Source organism: Homo sapiens, chromosome 22 (assembly GCF_000001405.40).
Source record: "Homo sapiens chromosome 22, GRCh38.p14 Primary Assembly".
NCBI classification, from domain to species: domain Eukaryota; kingdom Metazoa; phylum Chordata; class Mammalia; order Primates; family Hominidae; genus Homo; species Homo sapiens.
The window spans coordinates 27,877,546-27,893,711 of record NC_000022.11 but is presented as its reverse complement, the minus strand read 5'-3'; the positions used below and the strand labels follow the sequence as shown (position 1 = coordinate 27,893,711).

Sequence of the window (16,166 nt, the reverse complement as noted above, 5' to 3'; positions counted from 1 at the left end):
AGGCTTAGACAGGAGGATTACTTGAGTCCAGAAATTTGAGGTTGCAGTGAGCCGTGATCGTACCACTGCACCCCAGCCAGGGTGACAGAGCGAGATCCTAGCTCAAAAAAAAAAAAAAAAAAAAAAAAAGGCTAGACATGGTGGCTCAAGCCTGTAATCCCAGCACTTTGGGAGGCTGAGGCAGGAAGATCACGAGGTCAGGAGATCGAGACCATCCTGGCTAACATGGTGAAACCCCTTCTCTACTAAAAATACAAAAAATTAGCCGGTATGGTGGTGGGCGCCTATAGTCCCAGCTACTCGGGAGGCTGAGGCAGGAGAGTGGCATGAGCCCGGGAGGCGGAGCTTGCAGTGAGCCGAGATCGCGCCACTGCACTCCAGCCTGGACAACAGAGCGAGACTCCGTCTCAAAAAAAAAAAAAAAGGAAAAAACAGACCCCTGTCTCATCTTGCCAAAGTTTATGAATATTAATGTGGTTCTTACTTTATAGTGTGCTAAGTGCTGCTTTGGTTTTACACAGCATGTGTAAATACAAGCACTGGTCCTCTTCCTCTAATCTAGAGAGCTAAAGCTTTGGAATAAGAGTGGTACCCTTTGTTTTGTCGTGGTCAAGCACGGTATGTTCAGTAGGCGTCCCTTTCCATTTCTATTTTTGGTGCTTATTCCCTGAACTTGAGCAGTGTTGTAAGTGAAACAGAAATAAGTCAAACGCTAAATGTCTGGTTTTGCTGTTGAAATTTAAAGGTAAACTTGCCTGAACAAAGGTCCCCGACCTTTTCTCAGATGTCACTGGGGTTGAGACTGCCAGCAGTGACCCAGTGCCAGGCTGGGCCAACTCTGCTAGGGCCCCCTTCCTGCTTAGAAGTGTGAGCACTGATAAGGGACTTTTGTTCTAGAAGTTCTTAAATTTTAGTTTTGCTGTGATTCGAAGTTGTTTCAATTTTAGGGATATTTCCACCTTTGACATTATATAGGGAGTTTTTCAATCTGTAGAAATGAAATGATATATCTGTTATGCCCTTTTATTTCTCTTGGTATTGTTTACAGCTAAGATTTACTATATGTGAAAGAATGATGGGAAGAGAAGTAATTGGGAGTAATGAGTGAGTTAGTTAATGACTAGGTCAGGACAGCTTACAAGCCTGGAGCTGCCCATCACTAAAATACCAAGCAGCAGTATGCCACACCAGGATCGGGTGCCCTGGGGAAGGCATTCCCATTATGTTGTTGGTGTTTGAAAATGCTATAATGACCAAACAAAATGGCTCGACTGACTCAGACTTATGGTCCATAGGTTTGCAGTCTACGTTGTTCACCAGCAGAGTACAAGATACCTTTGGTTTTGCTGGAGGCATAAAAATTCTTTGTTCCTGTCCTCAGGCGAAAATGGGCAGTGTTTACAGGCATGAATGCTGGTGGAAAGAGCAGAGTAAGGGCAGATTGCACAAGAACCGTGGAGGCCCTGGTTCCCATCACCTCCACCTCAGCACAGACTTCAGAGAGGAGAGGAGGCACTGGATGCATGACAGCAGCACTTGAGATAGGTGCTCCAGGTGGAAGGCACTGCACATGCAAAGGCTGAGTAGGTAGTTCTCTGTGTGAAAATGGTGATGTTTGGGGTGGATAGCTAGTGAAAAAGACTGGATTGAGCCCAAGTGAGGAGGATCTGTGTTGTGAGGTATGGAGCTTTGACTAAAAACATACATTCTAAAACTAGGTGGGCTTCAGATTTCCATTCTGAGGCTCTGCCACCTACTGGCTATTTAATCTTGGACAAGTTGGTTAGCCTCTCTTTGCCTGTATTATCTTGTGTAAAATGAGAGTAATTATAAGATTAAATGTGAGCACTTAAGAGTATATTAGTCTGTTTCATACTGCTGTAAAGATACTACCCATGACTGGGTAATTTATAATGGAAAGAGGTTTAATTCACTCACAGTTCTGCATGGCTGGGGAGGCCTTGGGAAACTTACAGTCATGGTGGAAGGGGAATCAGGCACGTTTTACATGGCGGCAGGAGAGAGAGGAGGAGGAAGGAGGAACTCCTAAACAGATCTTGTGAGAACTCACTCACCGTCACCAGAACAACATGGGGGAAGCTGCCCCCATGGTCCAGTCACCTCCCTTCCTTGACACATGGGGATCACAGGTCCCTCCCTTGACATGTGTTAATTACAATTTGAGATGAGATTTGGGTGGTAACACAGAGCCAGATCTTATCATACAGCCAGTGTGTAGTTCAGTAAATGCTAGCTGTAATTATCATTATTATTAGCTCCAGTTGTACAAGAGTTCCAAGAGTCTGTGTTCACACCAAGCATTGTCTGGGGACTAAACACAACCTGCGTATATGTGGCTTTTTGATGTTCATAGCTCCTAATTTCCCATTACGTTTTAGAGATTAGTAAGATATAAATTTATTTTAAAGTTTATTGAATTTGCAGGAACTATTTTTTATTGGGATAAAATACACATAATCTAAATTTTACCCTTTTAGCCATTTTTAAATGTATAATTCAGTGGCATTTGGTACATTAACAGGGTCCTGCAACCATCACCACTGTTTAGCTGCAAAACGTTTTCATCACCCCAAGAGGACACCCTGTACTCATGAACAGTCGTTCCCTGATTCTCCTTCCCCCTAACCTCTGGCAACTGCTAACCTGTTTTCTGTCTTTTGGGATTTGCCTATTCTGGATATTTCATATAAATAGAATCACGCAACGCACAGCCTCCTGTGGCTGGCTTCTTTCTTATACTTCGCATTGATTTACAAGATTCATCTTCGTAGTGTGTGTCAGTACTTCATTCCTTTCTATGGCTGAATAATATTCCAGTGTATGGATAGACCACATTTTGTTCATGCATTCATCTGTTTTTTGTTTTGTTTTGTTTTTGAGACAGAGTCTCGCTCTGTCGCCCAGGCTGGAGTGCAGTGGCGCGATCTCGGCTCACTGCAAGCTCCGCCTCCGGGGTTCACACCATTCTCCTGCCTCAGCCTCCCGAGTAGCTGGGACTACAGGTGCCCACCACCATGCCCAGCTAATTTTTTGTATTTTTAGTAGAGACAGGGTTTCGCCATGTTAGCCAGGATGGTCTCGATCTCCTGACCTTGTGATCCTCCTGCTTCAGCCTCCCAAAGTGCTGGGATTACAGGCATGAGCCACCGCGCCCAGCTTCATACGTTCATCTGTTGATGGACATTTGGGTTTTTTCTACCTCTTGGCTGTTGTGACTAGTGCTGCTGTAGACCTTTGTGTCACAGGAGCTTTTCGTCTAATGTGCTGTCTTGGGGGATAATTAAAGAACTGTTACGTAAGGATTATCAGACCTTTTGATGTAAAAAAAAAAAATAATTCCAGTATGCATATTTCTCTGTTACAAAAAGAAAGAGAAGAACTTTTTGGTGGCAAAGTTGCCCTTGACAGTTTTTAAGCCTGGAGCAGAGCATTGAGCTTCCAGGGTTGGGATGGAGGGTGTGGGGGTGGGCGGTGTTGAAGGCAGGTATGGGTGGTGGCAGGAGAGCTAGGACCAGACCCCCATTTCAGGGAGGAGGTGACTGTGAAATCTAGTGGTGCAGGGACCCTGGGTCTGCTCTTTTCTTCTGCACATCCTTGTCTGTCCACTTTCACAGGCATTGACAGCTGCCCCTACACTCTAACCCTTTAATTTCCGCCCCATTGTTTGGGCCTTGACTAGTTAGTGTTTTAGGATTAGCTTCTGTCCCAAACACCTGGACCACCTGAAGGTCACTACTTCTTACCAGATCCAATTTGGTTTTCTGTTAAGTTAATTAGTTCATTTCATTCTGCCCTTTTAGGTAATTTTGTCACTCGAATATTCTAGTCTACAGTGTAGAGAAAAGGCACAACACCTTTGCTATTCTAAAACGGTAATGTCATAGCAGTCAATAGTACTGAATGCCTGTGCAGTGTGTACCAGTGCTGTGCATGCAGCACTGTGGTAGCTGTCGAGGATTTGTATAGCACCTACAAGAGACTTACAGTCTTAGCAAGAGAAGCCCAGTACAATGAAGTAGTTAACAAGTGGCAGAGGCTTACAGCGTGGTCCAAAGTGCTGTAGGATTTCAGAGAAGAGAACAGATGATCTGTAAGAATGCAAAGCTGAAAAGGCTGAAGGAAAGACTCCTGACATGAGGATGTGTAGAGTTTTGATGAGTGGAACAGTCATTACACTTTTTCCTCTTACACTCGTTGCTCTGACACATTATACGTTTATTTCTTCATTTTTCTCTCTCCCTTCCAAGTAGAAATTAAACCTGAGAGGGAAGAGTCTTTGCAACCTTAGCCCATGTCTCCCCAGATCCTATAACACTGTCTGAAATGTAGTGGGTACTCAGTGAATTCCTGTTAATAAATGAATCATAGGCAAGCAGAATAGAAATGAAGGTACAGGTGTACCATCTGACATTGAATTGGAGTAGTTTTTCGAGCTGAAGGGAACCTTAGCTACCTAGGCCTCCTTGCATTTAGACTGTGCTTCACATAATCCTAAGAGTTTCTTGCCCCCTCCTCCCTCAGGTTATCAGGATGGAGCAACTAGAATAAGGGGCTGAGTTCCTTCCTGTTCCCTCTCCCAGCGCAGTTGTGCTTGCTTGTCGTTAGTCTTGACTGTAAGATTTACTTTGAACACACAGTTCTGCAGCTACAGAAATTTTGGTTTCAGGGCTAACCTCCTGAGGCCCAGGTAAGCTAGTATTTCTCATGATCACTTAGCTAATGCCTAAAGTGGAAATCCCAATTCTCAGATCACTGACTGATTCTTCCCTAGCTCAGGCCTTGCCAGGGCAGTCACTCTTCGAGCTGCCACTTGAGCATTCTCTTCCTCTCCTCACACTGCTGTGCCACGGACCATACCCTATGCTTTCCTGTTCCAACACACTACTTGTTCTCACCTCCTTTCTGGGACTCCTTTCTCTGTCCAAAGTTGACATGTCCTTCAGGATCTAGGTAGGTCGGAGCTTGCCTCCTCCAGGGAGATTTCTTTCAAGTTGAAATCAGTCTTCCTCTCTGCTGAATTTCAGAAGCTTTTGCTCATTTCATTGGTGTGTTTTGTTCTCTTTGTTTAGCAACCTGTTCCCTTTTTACAGAGTAGGCCCTTCATAAATATCGGTCAGATGAACCTGATGAGCTTGAGAATAATGATGAAACTAAACACTATGAGCCAAGAGTTTGTACTGGAATACAAAATCAATTTGATGTCCTTTTGATAACACCTGGGTTGGCAAGGGATGAGGAAGCAGGCACTCCCATACATTGTCTGTGGGAATGTAAATTAGTGGAACTGTTGCTAGTCTAGCAGAATTACAAGTGTACATAGCCTGTTGACCCAGCAAAATTCTGCTTCTAGGAATTAACTCTACCCACTGTAAAGTGACAGGTGTATAAACCTAGGATCAGAAGTCTAAGTGTTTCTTTATCAATCGGGAACTGATTAAAATCATTGTGGCACACTCATGTGATGGAGTTCAGTGCAATCATTAAAAGGGAGTGAGCTCTATTTGTACTGATGGAGAATCCTTTTCAAGACAACCTGGAGGGAGAAAGACAAAGAAGTATGTATAATATGCTTCCATTTGTTATATTAAAAGGGAGAAAAATAGTTTGCTTAGTTATGTATGGACTATCAAGAAGAATGCATAAGATGCCATTAATAGTGATTTCCCTTAGGACAGGAATGGGATGGAAGAGTTGAGGTCTGACAGAGATGTGTGCAGTGGATCAGGGGATAAACTCCTCTCACCAACTGTATGGTTTCTGTTGCTGCATAAGAGATCACTACATATTTAGTGGCTGGGTAATGTGACCTGATTAGTTTGATTAATTAAGGGAATGGCCTCCCATTACCTTTGCCACAGTCTGTGGCTTAGAAGCAGGTTAGCGGTTCTGCTTGCACTTAACGGGAGGGAATTACATGAGGGTGACTTATGGCAGGGAGGGGTTTACTTTAGGATGCATCTGCCATACCAGCAGTCAATGTTTAGTGCCTAAAACTTGCTCTTTAAGGATTGGAGTGACACTAGAATCGAGAGCTTAGTAACTATGAATAGGCCAGTAAGTGGGTGTGGGATTGAGTGGGGGTGGGGCTGCACCCCATGGATTGGGTCGCCTGTTAGACCTGGGGAGGTGGGGTGGGTGGGGATATTGGAGCAGAATCTCCTTCCTAGATTTGCTGAGTCTGTCTTGTTCCGGGGACCAGAGGACAGCTTGTGGAGGCTCAGGTTGGATGGTTGAATGGCCAGATCCAGATCCTACCCCTTCAGTCAGCCCCAGCTCTTACCCTGCAGCTCAGCTGGGAGCCTGACTCTCTTGCTTTGTAAACAGGGAATGATCCCCTTTCACAAGACCACCATCATGTCTGGGCCTGTACTAGGAGGCTGTAGCTAGAACCTGCGTTTTTCTCAACACTATTTTTATGACCAAAGGGCAGCACCTTCTGAATGGGAGATCGTGTGACTACTGGGAATTCATGTTCCTCTAATGCGCCTGTGTTTAGTGGTAACACCTCACATGTAGAATCTGGTTACCTATGCAGTTGTGAATATCCAGAAGTCAGGTAAATCACTGTCTATAGTCTTACCCAATTTAAAATTTCATGATTTGACCTTTTCTCCCTTAAATGAATGTGTTGGTGGTGATTTGGAAAAAGAAAATTAGGAAGACCTTCTGAAGGTATAGTGATCCTCAAAGTTTGTACTTGTGGCACCTTGACTCCTGGAGATTTTTGTCTCAGTCTGATTTAATCAGTGATTTTTCATTCTGTATTTAATGACTTCTGGTTTTTCTTGAGTGAGCTAATTAAAAAAAAAGTTAAATGGTTGAGTTTCTTTCATATTACTTGCTTTTAAAAAGAAAGAAAACAGCTGCATTATTAAATTTGAGTGAAGTCCTCAGAGTCAGGACAAACATGAAATAGTTGGGAGTGCAAGAAACCAAGAATTTGAAACTCCACCTGGTGGGGGCTTTCTGTCACTGCAGGTGAATGTAATACAAATGCAGCCCCAAATATTTTAATTCAGAGTGATTGTTGATTACTCTTAAGATTTAACTCTCTCAGCTAGGTTGTCAGGTGGCTTGTATACCACTCTTGTAGATTTGCTGTCTTTGGTAGTGTTTATGAACTATACTTCACCATGCAGAGAAGAGATGGGATTTGACTCATGGCATAACTGAATACTTGAGTGGATGCTTTGACATGTTTACATAATTGGAGGGTGACATCATCACAATAACTCTAGGAACAAGGATTTGTTTTAAAAATCTGTCAGTGTGACCTAGGGTCACAGAGTAGTTTGCTACAAAAATCATATGTATTTAAATATATGGGTCATTAAGACTTTTTGTTGATGACTTGTGGGAAGTCTGTATATGACTATTGCTTTAGCCACTGTTCTCTGTAATTTTCTAGAAGCTACATCACTTCCTGATGAAAGAAGCCAAGTAGTCTGGGATTTCTGCATAATGTCCTCACTTAGTATCTTTTGTCCCTTCAGAATGTACCTACCATAGGAAACGGATTTCCTGTTTCAAGAGAAAGTGACATTGTAGTGAAGTGTTATTAAGTTGTTATATCCTTTAAGAGGGAAGCGTCCTTCTGCTGGTCATCCCAGTGGTCACAGAGTACACCATGCTCCAGCAGGACACACCTCACGCCCTCTCCATCCTCAGAGCCCCTTGTTTTAAACCCAGGCATCACTTCTAAAAGTCTTCCTCAGTAAGCTAGATGCCTCTTGGCGGTCAGGATTGTACTGTACTCATCATTTCTGTTTCCAGGACCTAGCAAGATGCTGGATGCATGGCGTGGCATAAGCTCTTCCATAAAGGTTTGGTAGATCAGAGAGAATTTGCAAATGTTTTTTCTGTCTAGTATTATAAAAAAGAAGAAGAAAAGGCTTTTTGGAGGAGTTGAAGTTTTTATTGTTCAAATAGTAAATGAAAAAATAAAATCTACTTTAATTCCTTCTTTAGTAATTCTGGATAAGATATATATTATATGCCTTAAATTCTAAAAATTTTGGCCAGACACAGTGGCTCATGCCTGCAATTCCAGCATTTTGAGAGGCTGAGGCAGGAGGATTGCTTGAGTTCAGGAGTTCGAGGCTGCAGTGAGCTATGATCATGCCACTGTACTCCAGCCTGGGCAACAGAGACTGTCTGAAGAAAATAAAATTTCTGAGTGTTGTTTCTAAATGAGCAAATACCTTTTTGGTCAGATTAAAAAGTGTTTTGGTTAGATCAAATTGTAGTAAGAACCAGGAGTATCCAGCATAAAACACCACAGTGTAAGTTTTAAAGTTTTTTAATTTCTAAAGTTGTCACTGATACACAACCACAGTAAAAAGTTTAGGATTCCTTAAATGTCCTGATGAAATGCACATGCATATCTTCAGCACATTTCCAAAATATACACAAATGAGTCAGTTGACATCTGCTTCTGCTTTTTTTTTTTTTTTTTTTTTTTTTTTTTTTTTTTTTTTTAGGTATAAATTTGAATCTGGCTCTTTTTAATCATCTCCAGCACTTTGTCTAAGTAGCTTTCCATGATTTATATACAAAAGTCACTTCCCGGGAGAGGAAGACTCTTTAAAGTGTAAGCTGAAGTATACACACGATTAACATCAGAGAGACCTTCGTTTTTGGAAGTAATTTGAAAGAAAATGAGCATGGTTTAGAAAAAAAAAAAGAAATTGGAACCACATTTTTAGATATTTATGTATAACAAGAAAGGATTGTATCAGCCTTCCTCTATAGTACATACTATGTGACTTTATTTGTATAATTTTCAAGGTACTTTTTAAGTAGAAACAATGTTTAATCCAAAATTTTAAGGCTTACATACCTAAAAGTGATGCACCTTAACATCTGAGTGTTTTTTACATGTTAATAATAAGGAAATAATGATATAAAAGCATTAAATTGAGAGATGTAGTTTAAAAATCGGGATCCATTTAATATTGAAATGAATCAAATTTAAAGAGAGAATGAAATTTTTCCCCTCGTCTTTCAGCATGTTTGAGTGTAATGCTTCAGTTCATGGTGAAATTTTTCCTAAATGAGATGGTTCAAGATCAAGCATTAGCATTGTGTGACCACAGTGCCAAGACCATGGCTTTTCAGCATCACCAAGGATGATGTTCTTGAAAGGAAGAGACACAAGCTAGAAACTCGTGTGCCATATTCGTTTTGGGTCACAGAATGTGCAGGGTATGCCCTGATTGATAGGGAACTTCCCTGCAGAGTAGGAGGGGTCCCTGTTTTGTGGGCTACGCAGTAAGTTTGTTGTGCTCCTAAGATAAAGCTCAGATTTCATTCATATCACGTTCATCTTTTTGTCCTTTTTAACTTCACACTAGTTGTTACTCTCATGTGCCTCTTCCTTACCTGCCCATGAATATAATTTCCACTGTCATATTTACCCAAAATCTCCATCCTTTTTTCTGGTACCTTTCCTCATTTGCAGATGTCCCCCCCAGGGGGTAATGGGGACACAATTACGGGCTTCGAGTGCTGCAGCCCTCCTGCCTGCCCCAGGCAGCCAGCCTTCCCTCCCTACACTGTGTGGTCCCTGGGTTGTTGCTGCTGTTGAGACTCTGGACCAGTCTGCAACATCTCTTTCCAGCAGAAACACTTCGTGCAAGCAGCTTTTTCAGCACCAGCTTCTGCAGCAAAGCTGTGGGTCCACTCACTAGTCACATTTTTTTTCTTAATACCCCAGAGGACACAGGCACTCCCAAGTGGGAGCATGAGGCTGCTGATAATCAGCTCAGCCTCCTTTGCAACACCTGAATCACCTCTGCTGAGTCCAGCTCACTCACACCTCCCCCGTCCTGTCCCCAGTTTGGTCTCCTTTGGAGACCATGGTCATTAGGCAGGTCTGTACATGCATGACTTCCAGTTGTGGGTTGGGTCTGTCCACTAGTCCAGTTCTCTGAAGATTGCCTGGAAGTTAAGAGGTGGTTCTTTTTAGAGCCCCTGAGGGTCGCTGGGGAGCATTTTTAGCTAACTTCAGAGCTTGCCTGTCAAAGCCTTTATTAGGACTCAAGCCAAAACCCTGAGTCCCTTTGCATTCAAGTGTGGTCTGCCCGCAGGCAGCTTATTAGAAATGCAAATTTGTTGCCCCTTCCCTGTTTAGAATCTTTGGAGTAGGGCTCAGGGCTCTTTCTGGCCCTCCAGGCCATTCCTGCGCATGCCCACCTTTGAGAAGCTGCATTCTAGTATACATTATTAATGGTGAAGATTGTAGCATAGGCACCCTTCTAGGATTTTGGAAGCAGAAGGAATCTCAGTTGGAGGCCATGGTCCAACAATATTCCCCTCAACCTTTATTTTTACTGTTAAAAGAATTTGTAGCCCAGGGAACTGCTGTAACTCCCCAGCCATGTAAGCAGTGGAAGGGGAGCCAGGACTCTAATGCAGAGCTCCTGACTTTATTTTTGTCATTCGAGAACAACTTTTTGCTGTATGATGTTTCTTCCTTTGCAATATGTTGATTAAGAGCATTCTTAATTTATTTGAAGGAAACAGGCAGCAGCTGTTCTTCCATCCCTCTTCCCTAGTCCCCTGAAACCCCAGTTTTTATCAGTAGTAGTCTTGGTCAGCTCCTCCCACAACTGCTGAACTCTGATGTATTTTGAAGTTCGCATATGTGCAATAGAGTAAAAGGATTGGACACCCAAAGATGTGTTTTGGTGTGGGTACTTACAGGGAACACCACTCATACATTTTCTCATTTGTTCATTTAATAAACATTTATTGGAACTTACTGTTTGTTTTGTGTTACTGTGGATAAATCTTTCTCCAGTTAAAGGAACAATTGTATCTGTCTAAAGAGAGTGAGTTTCTTAATCGCGGACATGCTGAAGTGTGTATAAGTGACTTACAAGTTCCAACTGTTGGTTGTGTAGTATGTGAGTGCTCCTTCACCAGAGGGTTATTTTTCCTTACAGCTGATACAGACCAGTGCTGGGCACCAGGCTGCAGCCATAGTCAAAGTTCAAAGACTAATCGGAGCCACGAGTTTTGGAGTTTTGCAGTTTACTAAATGAACAGACATTTTAATTGCTTGTCAAAGGACTATAATGGGATTGTTGGGCTTATCTAAACTGTTTCTGAGCAGCTTTGTAGAAGTCTCAGGTTAATCTTTTTAAGGATTGTGATGTCAAAGAAACTGAATTGGTCTTTAAAGTTTGTACTTTTTGCTTGTTCTTTATTTGGTGAGTATGTCTTGGTAGTAAGAACAGTGTCCTGTTTTAGTTGAGGGCAGGAATATACTAAGCCAGTACCTGTTTTTTGAAATTTCAGTTGCCTTTGGGAATGAACATAAATGATTTGCTTTTCCATACATTTAGTTCTTTTCATTTCGAACATACCATTCCATTTTTTGAGTTTTTTTAGTGAGCAATCTGACACTTCTTAATTGTTTTAAACCATGGGTGTATATTGTTTAAAAAAAAGGTATTTTGCTCTTTTTAAACATATTATTTTCTAAAAGTTGGCAAACTGATGAAACTTGGTTTAATTTATTTGGATTGAATCTTAGGGGCATGTAAGTTTTGGTCACACCTTAAGCAGTGCTTGTCTCTTGTGCTCTCAGAAGGATTTGGTGTATCTTTTCTTTTGATCATACATTCTCTGAGACAATGCCCAGATGTTACATACTTGTGTAGATAGTCTTGGTAACACATGCTTTACTAAACTTCGTCATTGCACTCTCTAAATAATCTTTATAATATTAAAACTTTTTTCTTTTCAAAATGAAAAAGAATGATGGAACATGACCAGAAAAAGTTAAATATTGGTTGAAGCCATGTGAAGTTGTTAGTATTTGTAAGCTTTTGAGCTACAGAAATGACGTTTTCTTATGGGTCAACCTAATATATCCTCCAAATTAATTTTTGGTAGATGATACCCTAAATGGTCAGCAGTCCTTTTGGTTCTCTCTCACAGCTTTCAAGAAGCTCCTGTGTTTTAGATGTTACATTTGTTCCAACTGCTGCTGCTTATTTCCTAAGAAGGGCTTTCTGCTTCTTGGAGCTGTGCAGTGGCTACCCGGCTCTTTAGACCTGAAAAGAGCTTTTGTTTATTAGAAGTCTGTGGCTGAGATCCAGCCAGTCCTAGCCGGGCCTATGGTTGCCAAATGCTGCTTTGGTTGTTTTCTTCAGCATGAGCAGAGACACACTTGATCTCAGTAGAGTACCATGTCTTTTTGCTGTTAAAATGAACCTAGACGTTCATTTCTGTCTTAAAAATGTGTTACTTATCACTAGGGTGTGTGATCCAAAAACTCTTTATTATGTGTGCATAATAAAAACATGAGAATTGTGACCCAGCTCCTAACTCAAGATGAATGCATGTGATAGTAGCTTTCCTGAACTTAGGGAGAAAGCACCTCAAATACACGTTTTGTGGTAGCAGTGATTTTGCTTATGCTTAAGAAATTTCTGTTTGCCAAACGCCTGTCTCATCTTGCCTTTACTGTGAAACAGACTGTTGTCAAGGTCTTTTGTAGTAAGTTAGAGATTTTTCCCCCATCTTCAAAGAAGATATAAATAAATGTAGGCATGTTTTCTATTAAAAAGAAATGTGAAAATGTTTCCTACATTATTCCACTGCCTTACATGGTCACACACTTTCAGATCATTTCCAGTAGTAGATTTAGAGAATGTCCACTATATTCGAAGGCATGGTTGGATAGTGCCCTCTTGTGGGAAAACAACATATTGCTTATGTCGTGCTTGCTTAAACATTAGCAAGGATTTTAAAATTTTATTAACTGGGTGCAGTGGCTCACGCCTGTAATCCCAGCAGTTTGGGAGGCTGAGGCAGGCAGATCACCTAAGTTGGGAGTTCGAGACCAGCCTGACCAACATGGAGAAACCCCCTCTCTACTAAAAATACAAAATTAGCTGGGCATGGTGGCATGTGCCTGTAATCCCAGCTACTCGGGAAGCTGAGGCAGAAGAATCGCTTGAACCTGGGAGGCGGAGGTTGTAGTGAGCCGAGATCGTGCCATTGCACTGTAGCCTGGGCAACAAGAGCGAAACTCCATCTCAAAAAAAAAAAAATCGGTGTGTACAAGCATGTTTTGTACAAAATGCTTTTTCACTAGAAACCATTATTAATTTAAGGTTTATTCCTAATTTCTTCCATGTTTTAAAAGTAAAAAGGCGGGGAGGGTAATGGAGGTGATGGGGGTGTGAATAGGATTTGCTCTAGTTCCTTGGGTGGGGGATAAAATTCTCTGAGAGTCAGAAAATGTTTTTGAGCAGCTCATGGCAGATATTTGTAAAGAAATAAGCATAAACAGCTCCAAGTCAAGTTTTTACAGTGCATTTCTTATAAAAGCCCCTTTTCAGCCATGTAAACTCTTTTTTAAGGAAGGCTCCCTAGGCTGAGAGGGAGCAAGCGTCCCTTCAGGTACTTGAGTCTAATCAAATGGTAGAATGTAAATCACATTTTTTCAATAAAGGATCATGGTTGGCTTTGGTGTCAGACAGGGCAGCATCTGAGTCCTGGCTCTTCTGCTCAGTGATGGTGGACTCTGGCAAAGAATTTCACTTCCCTGCCCCTAGTGGTGGTGATAGTCCAGTACCTTTATTTCAAGTTTTTGAGCATTAACTGGGAGAATGTGGGGGCCTGACACATAAGTGTGTGCTTCAAAATGGTAGCAGGAATGATGTTGCTTATTGGATTTTGTTCTTACTTTAAAAAAATGTTTAATTTTTTTCATATTTTAACTTTTTCATGTTGAATATTTGTTAACTTAATGCTAATGGACTAAATGGAATCTTGGGACTTAGAAGCTAAAGGCCAAATCATGGACTAACATTCAGAGTGAGAGAGGGCTCACTCTGAATTTTTACTAGGGTGTTTTCCCCCATTTCAGTTTAAGGAAATTGATATAATATGTTCAGTGATTTACTGTCATTTAAGGAAACATGCCTTTTTGTAAATAAAACTTTTCTAAATGTATCACTTACATTTCAGGTATATGCAGTATAATTTTAAAATATGTAATGTTTAACAAACACCTTTATGGAATTAACTTGTTAAAACTCATTTCATTGGTAGTAGAGTTTGAAATATCTTCATTTTTAAGTGTTATAATATATAAACATATACTAGTAATAAATACAATATTACAATAATAAATATATTCTATATTTGTGCATGAACTGCCCAAAGCAGGAACCCACCTCCCCCTGAGGAGAGTGCTGGGGTGTAGCCCATGGGCAGCTGCTTAAGGCAGCTCACTAGCCCCAGTAGCTCTGGGCTATACAGGAATCTCAAGAGCTTGCTCCATTGGGCCTCACTTTCTCATCTTATCCTGGAGCACAGCTATTTGGTTTCCTTGCTGTGTTGTAGGATATGGAGTGTATCACATAGCCATCTGTTTGTAACCTTTTCTTGGGGCTGAAATTCTGATTTCTTTCTCTTTCTCTATTAATTTGTATCCTTCCAAAGGCTTTAGGAGTCTGCCTCCATAAACATGACAGTGTTGGGGATAAGGATAAGATCAGAAAGAATGGAATGAACGATTAGTTTAGTTGTGCTCTAGCCTAGCAGTGCTCCCACCACCCACATGCCAGGCTCACCCCCACCATCTCAGGACTCTATGGAGGGTCTCTTTGAGATCAGAAAGATTACCAAAAAAAAAAAGTGTTATGTTCAGGGGTGTAGATTTGACTGCATTTCTCAGTTCTCAATACAGTTGTTTAAAATTCAGCTTTTAGGATTCATTGGTGGAAAGCCAGTAAGGTTTAATGAGAGGACTGAATTATAGAATATTTTTTAATGCAGTTTTGTCCCTCTGAGGTACATTCAGTAACAGAAACTAGGCCAACAAGTTATTGACAATTAGTGGTCCTTTGGGAATCTGCTTTAATGAATAGATAAGAATGATTTGTAATTAGCATAATAATTATATGCAAATGAATGCTTCTGAATTGCTCTAAAACACTTCTGAACTGTTTAAACAGCCCTCCTGAGATCTTGTTACTCTATTAATTTGTGTAGCAAATCTTTTTTTCATAGATCATGCAAAGATAAACTTCAGCCCAGCCCCTGTCTGAATGATTATGTATTCCAAGGTAGTAGGACCTGAATTAATGAGATTTACTTATACTATATTAATGGTACTCTGTGGGAACCTGAAAGGTTGAGGAGTCACTGGGGAGATGTAATTAAAAATAGAAAAGAAAGCTGCTTATTTGAAAATAACTGTTGAAATCAGTTTCTTAAACAAGTTAGTAAATGTTATTTCTCTTTACACCTCTGTTATTTGCTTTTGCAAAATTTAATGTAAACTTTTTTTTAATGGGCTTACTTACTCTTTGGAGTCTCGCTTGAATTTTGTCAGCTTGAGTTAGTTATTCGTTTGGCATTAGGGTCAACAGTGATAGGATCCAGGAACTCATTTAGGTGCCACAATACTGGAAAATTCAGGGCAGTGCTAATAAATGATGTTTGTTATTTATCTTCATATTTAATTCAGCTTTATTCCCCATCCTGGGCTTTATTTTTAGGATGTGATTAGAGGAAATAAGCCTTGCTAAGTTGAACTGCAATACCCATGCATTTAAAACTTAATGATTATCTTTGAGCTATTTTAATAGACACCTAATTAATCATTGTATGCTAAAGGAAAGCATTTTATATAACAGGCTGCAGGATCCTAATGTCTCTCTCAAGCTTTTATGTTTGCCCAGTAAAACACCCCCTCTCCACAGGATAGAAAATAGGGGTTGATCTTTTATAAGCAGGTGCCAAGGAGTTGCTAATGCTTGTGGTTTGGGTCCTCTTTTCCTTAGTTTACACTTAGCCTCACCTCTAGTAACCCATGCATGGTTATTTAAGCAGTTTCTGGTGTCTGGAGCTCATCTCAATTTTTCCACAAGCTGTCAAGAAACTCCTACCAGCCTGCCCCCCACCTCCTACTCACTTCCCCATTCATAATTAGGAGTTAAATCTGGGCTCAGGGACATTTAGTTTGGCTCAGCACAGACAGATTTTGTACTTTCATTTTTGGGGGCAGCCACTGTACTCAAAGATTCATGAAACTAATATTCTTTGTATTCGAAATGAATCCGGTTTCTATTGAGAGTTTCTGTTGAGATCTGTAGTAACAGATGTACACCCAAGAAGTA

The 16,166-nt window shown here is 40.9% G+C and overlaps 1 protein-coding gene across 6 annotated transcripts in view; it reads left to right on the top strand.

Moving 5' to 3' along the window:
• PITPNB (phosphatidylinositol transfer protein beta) overlaps nt 1–16,166 on the top strand; it is a 67,588-nt gene that overhangs the window by 25,545 nt on the left and 25,877 nt on the right. Inside the window, exon 8 of one of the 6 annotated variants that reach the window (XM_017028707.2) lies at nt 1,382–1,583. The exons of the other annotated variants lie outside the window; for them this stretch is intronic. Coding sequence (XP_016884196.1) covers nt 1,382–1,540 — 159 coding nt within the window. The 3' untranslated portion in view covers nt 1,541–1,583. The remainder of the gene's footprint in view (nt 1–1,381; nt 1,584–16,166) is intronic. 6 annotated transcript variants of the gene reach the window in all.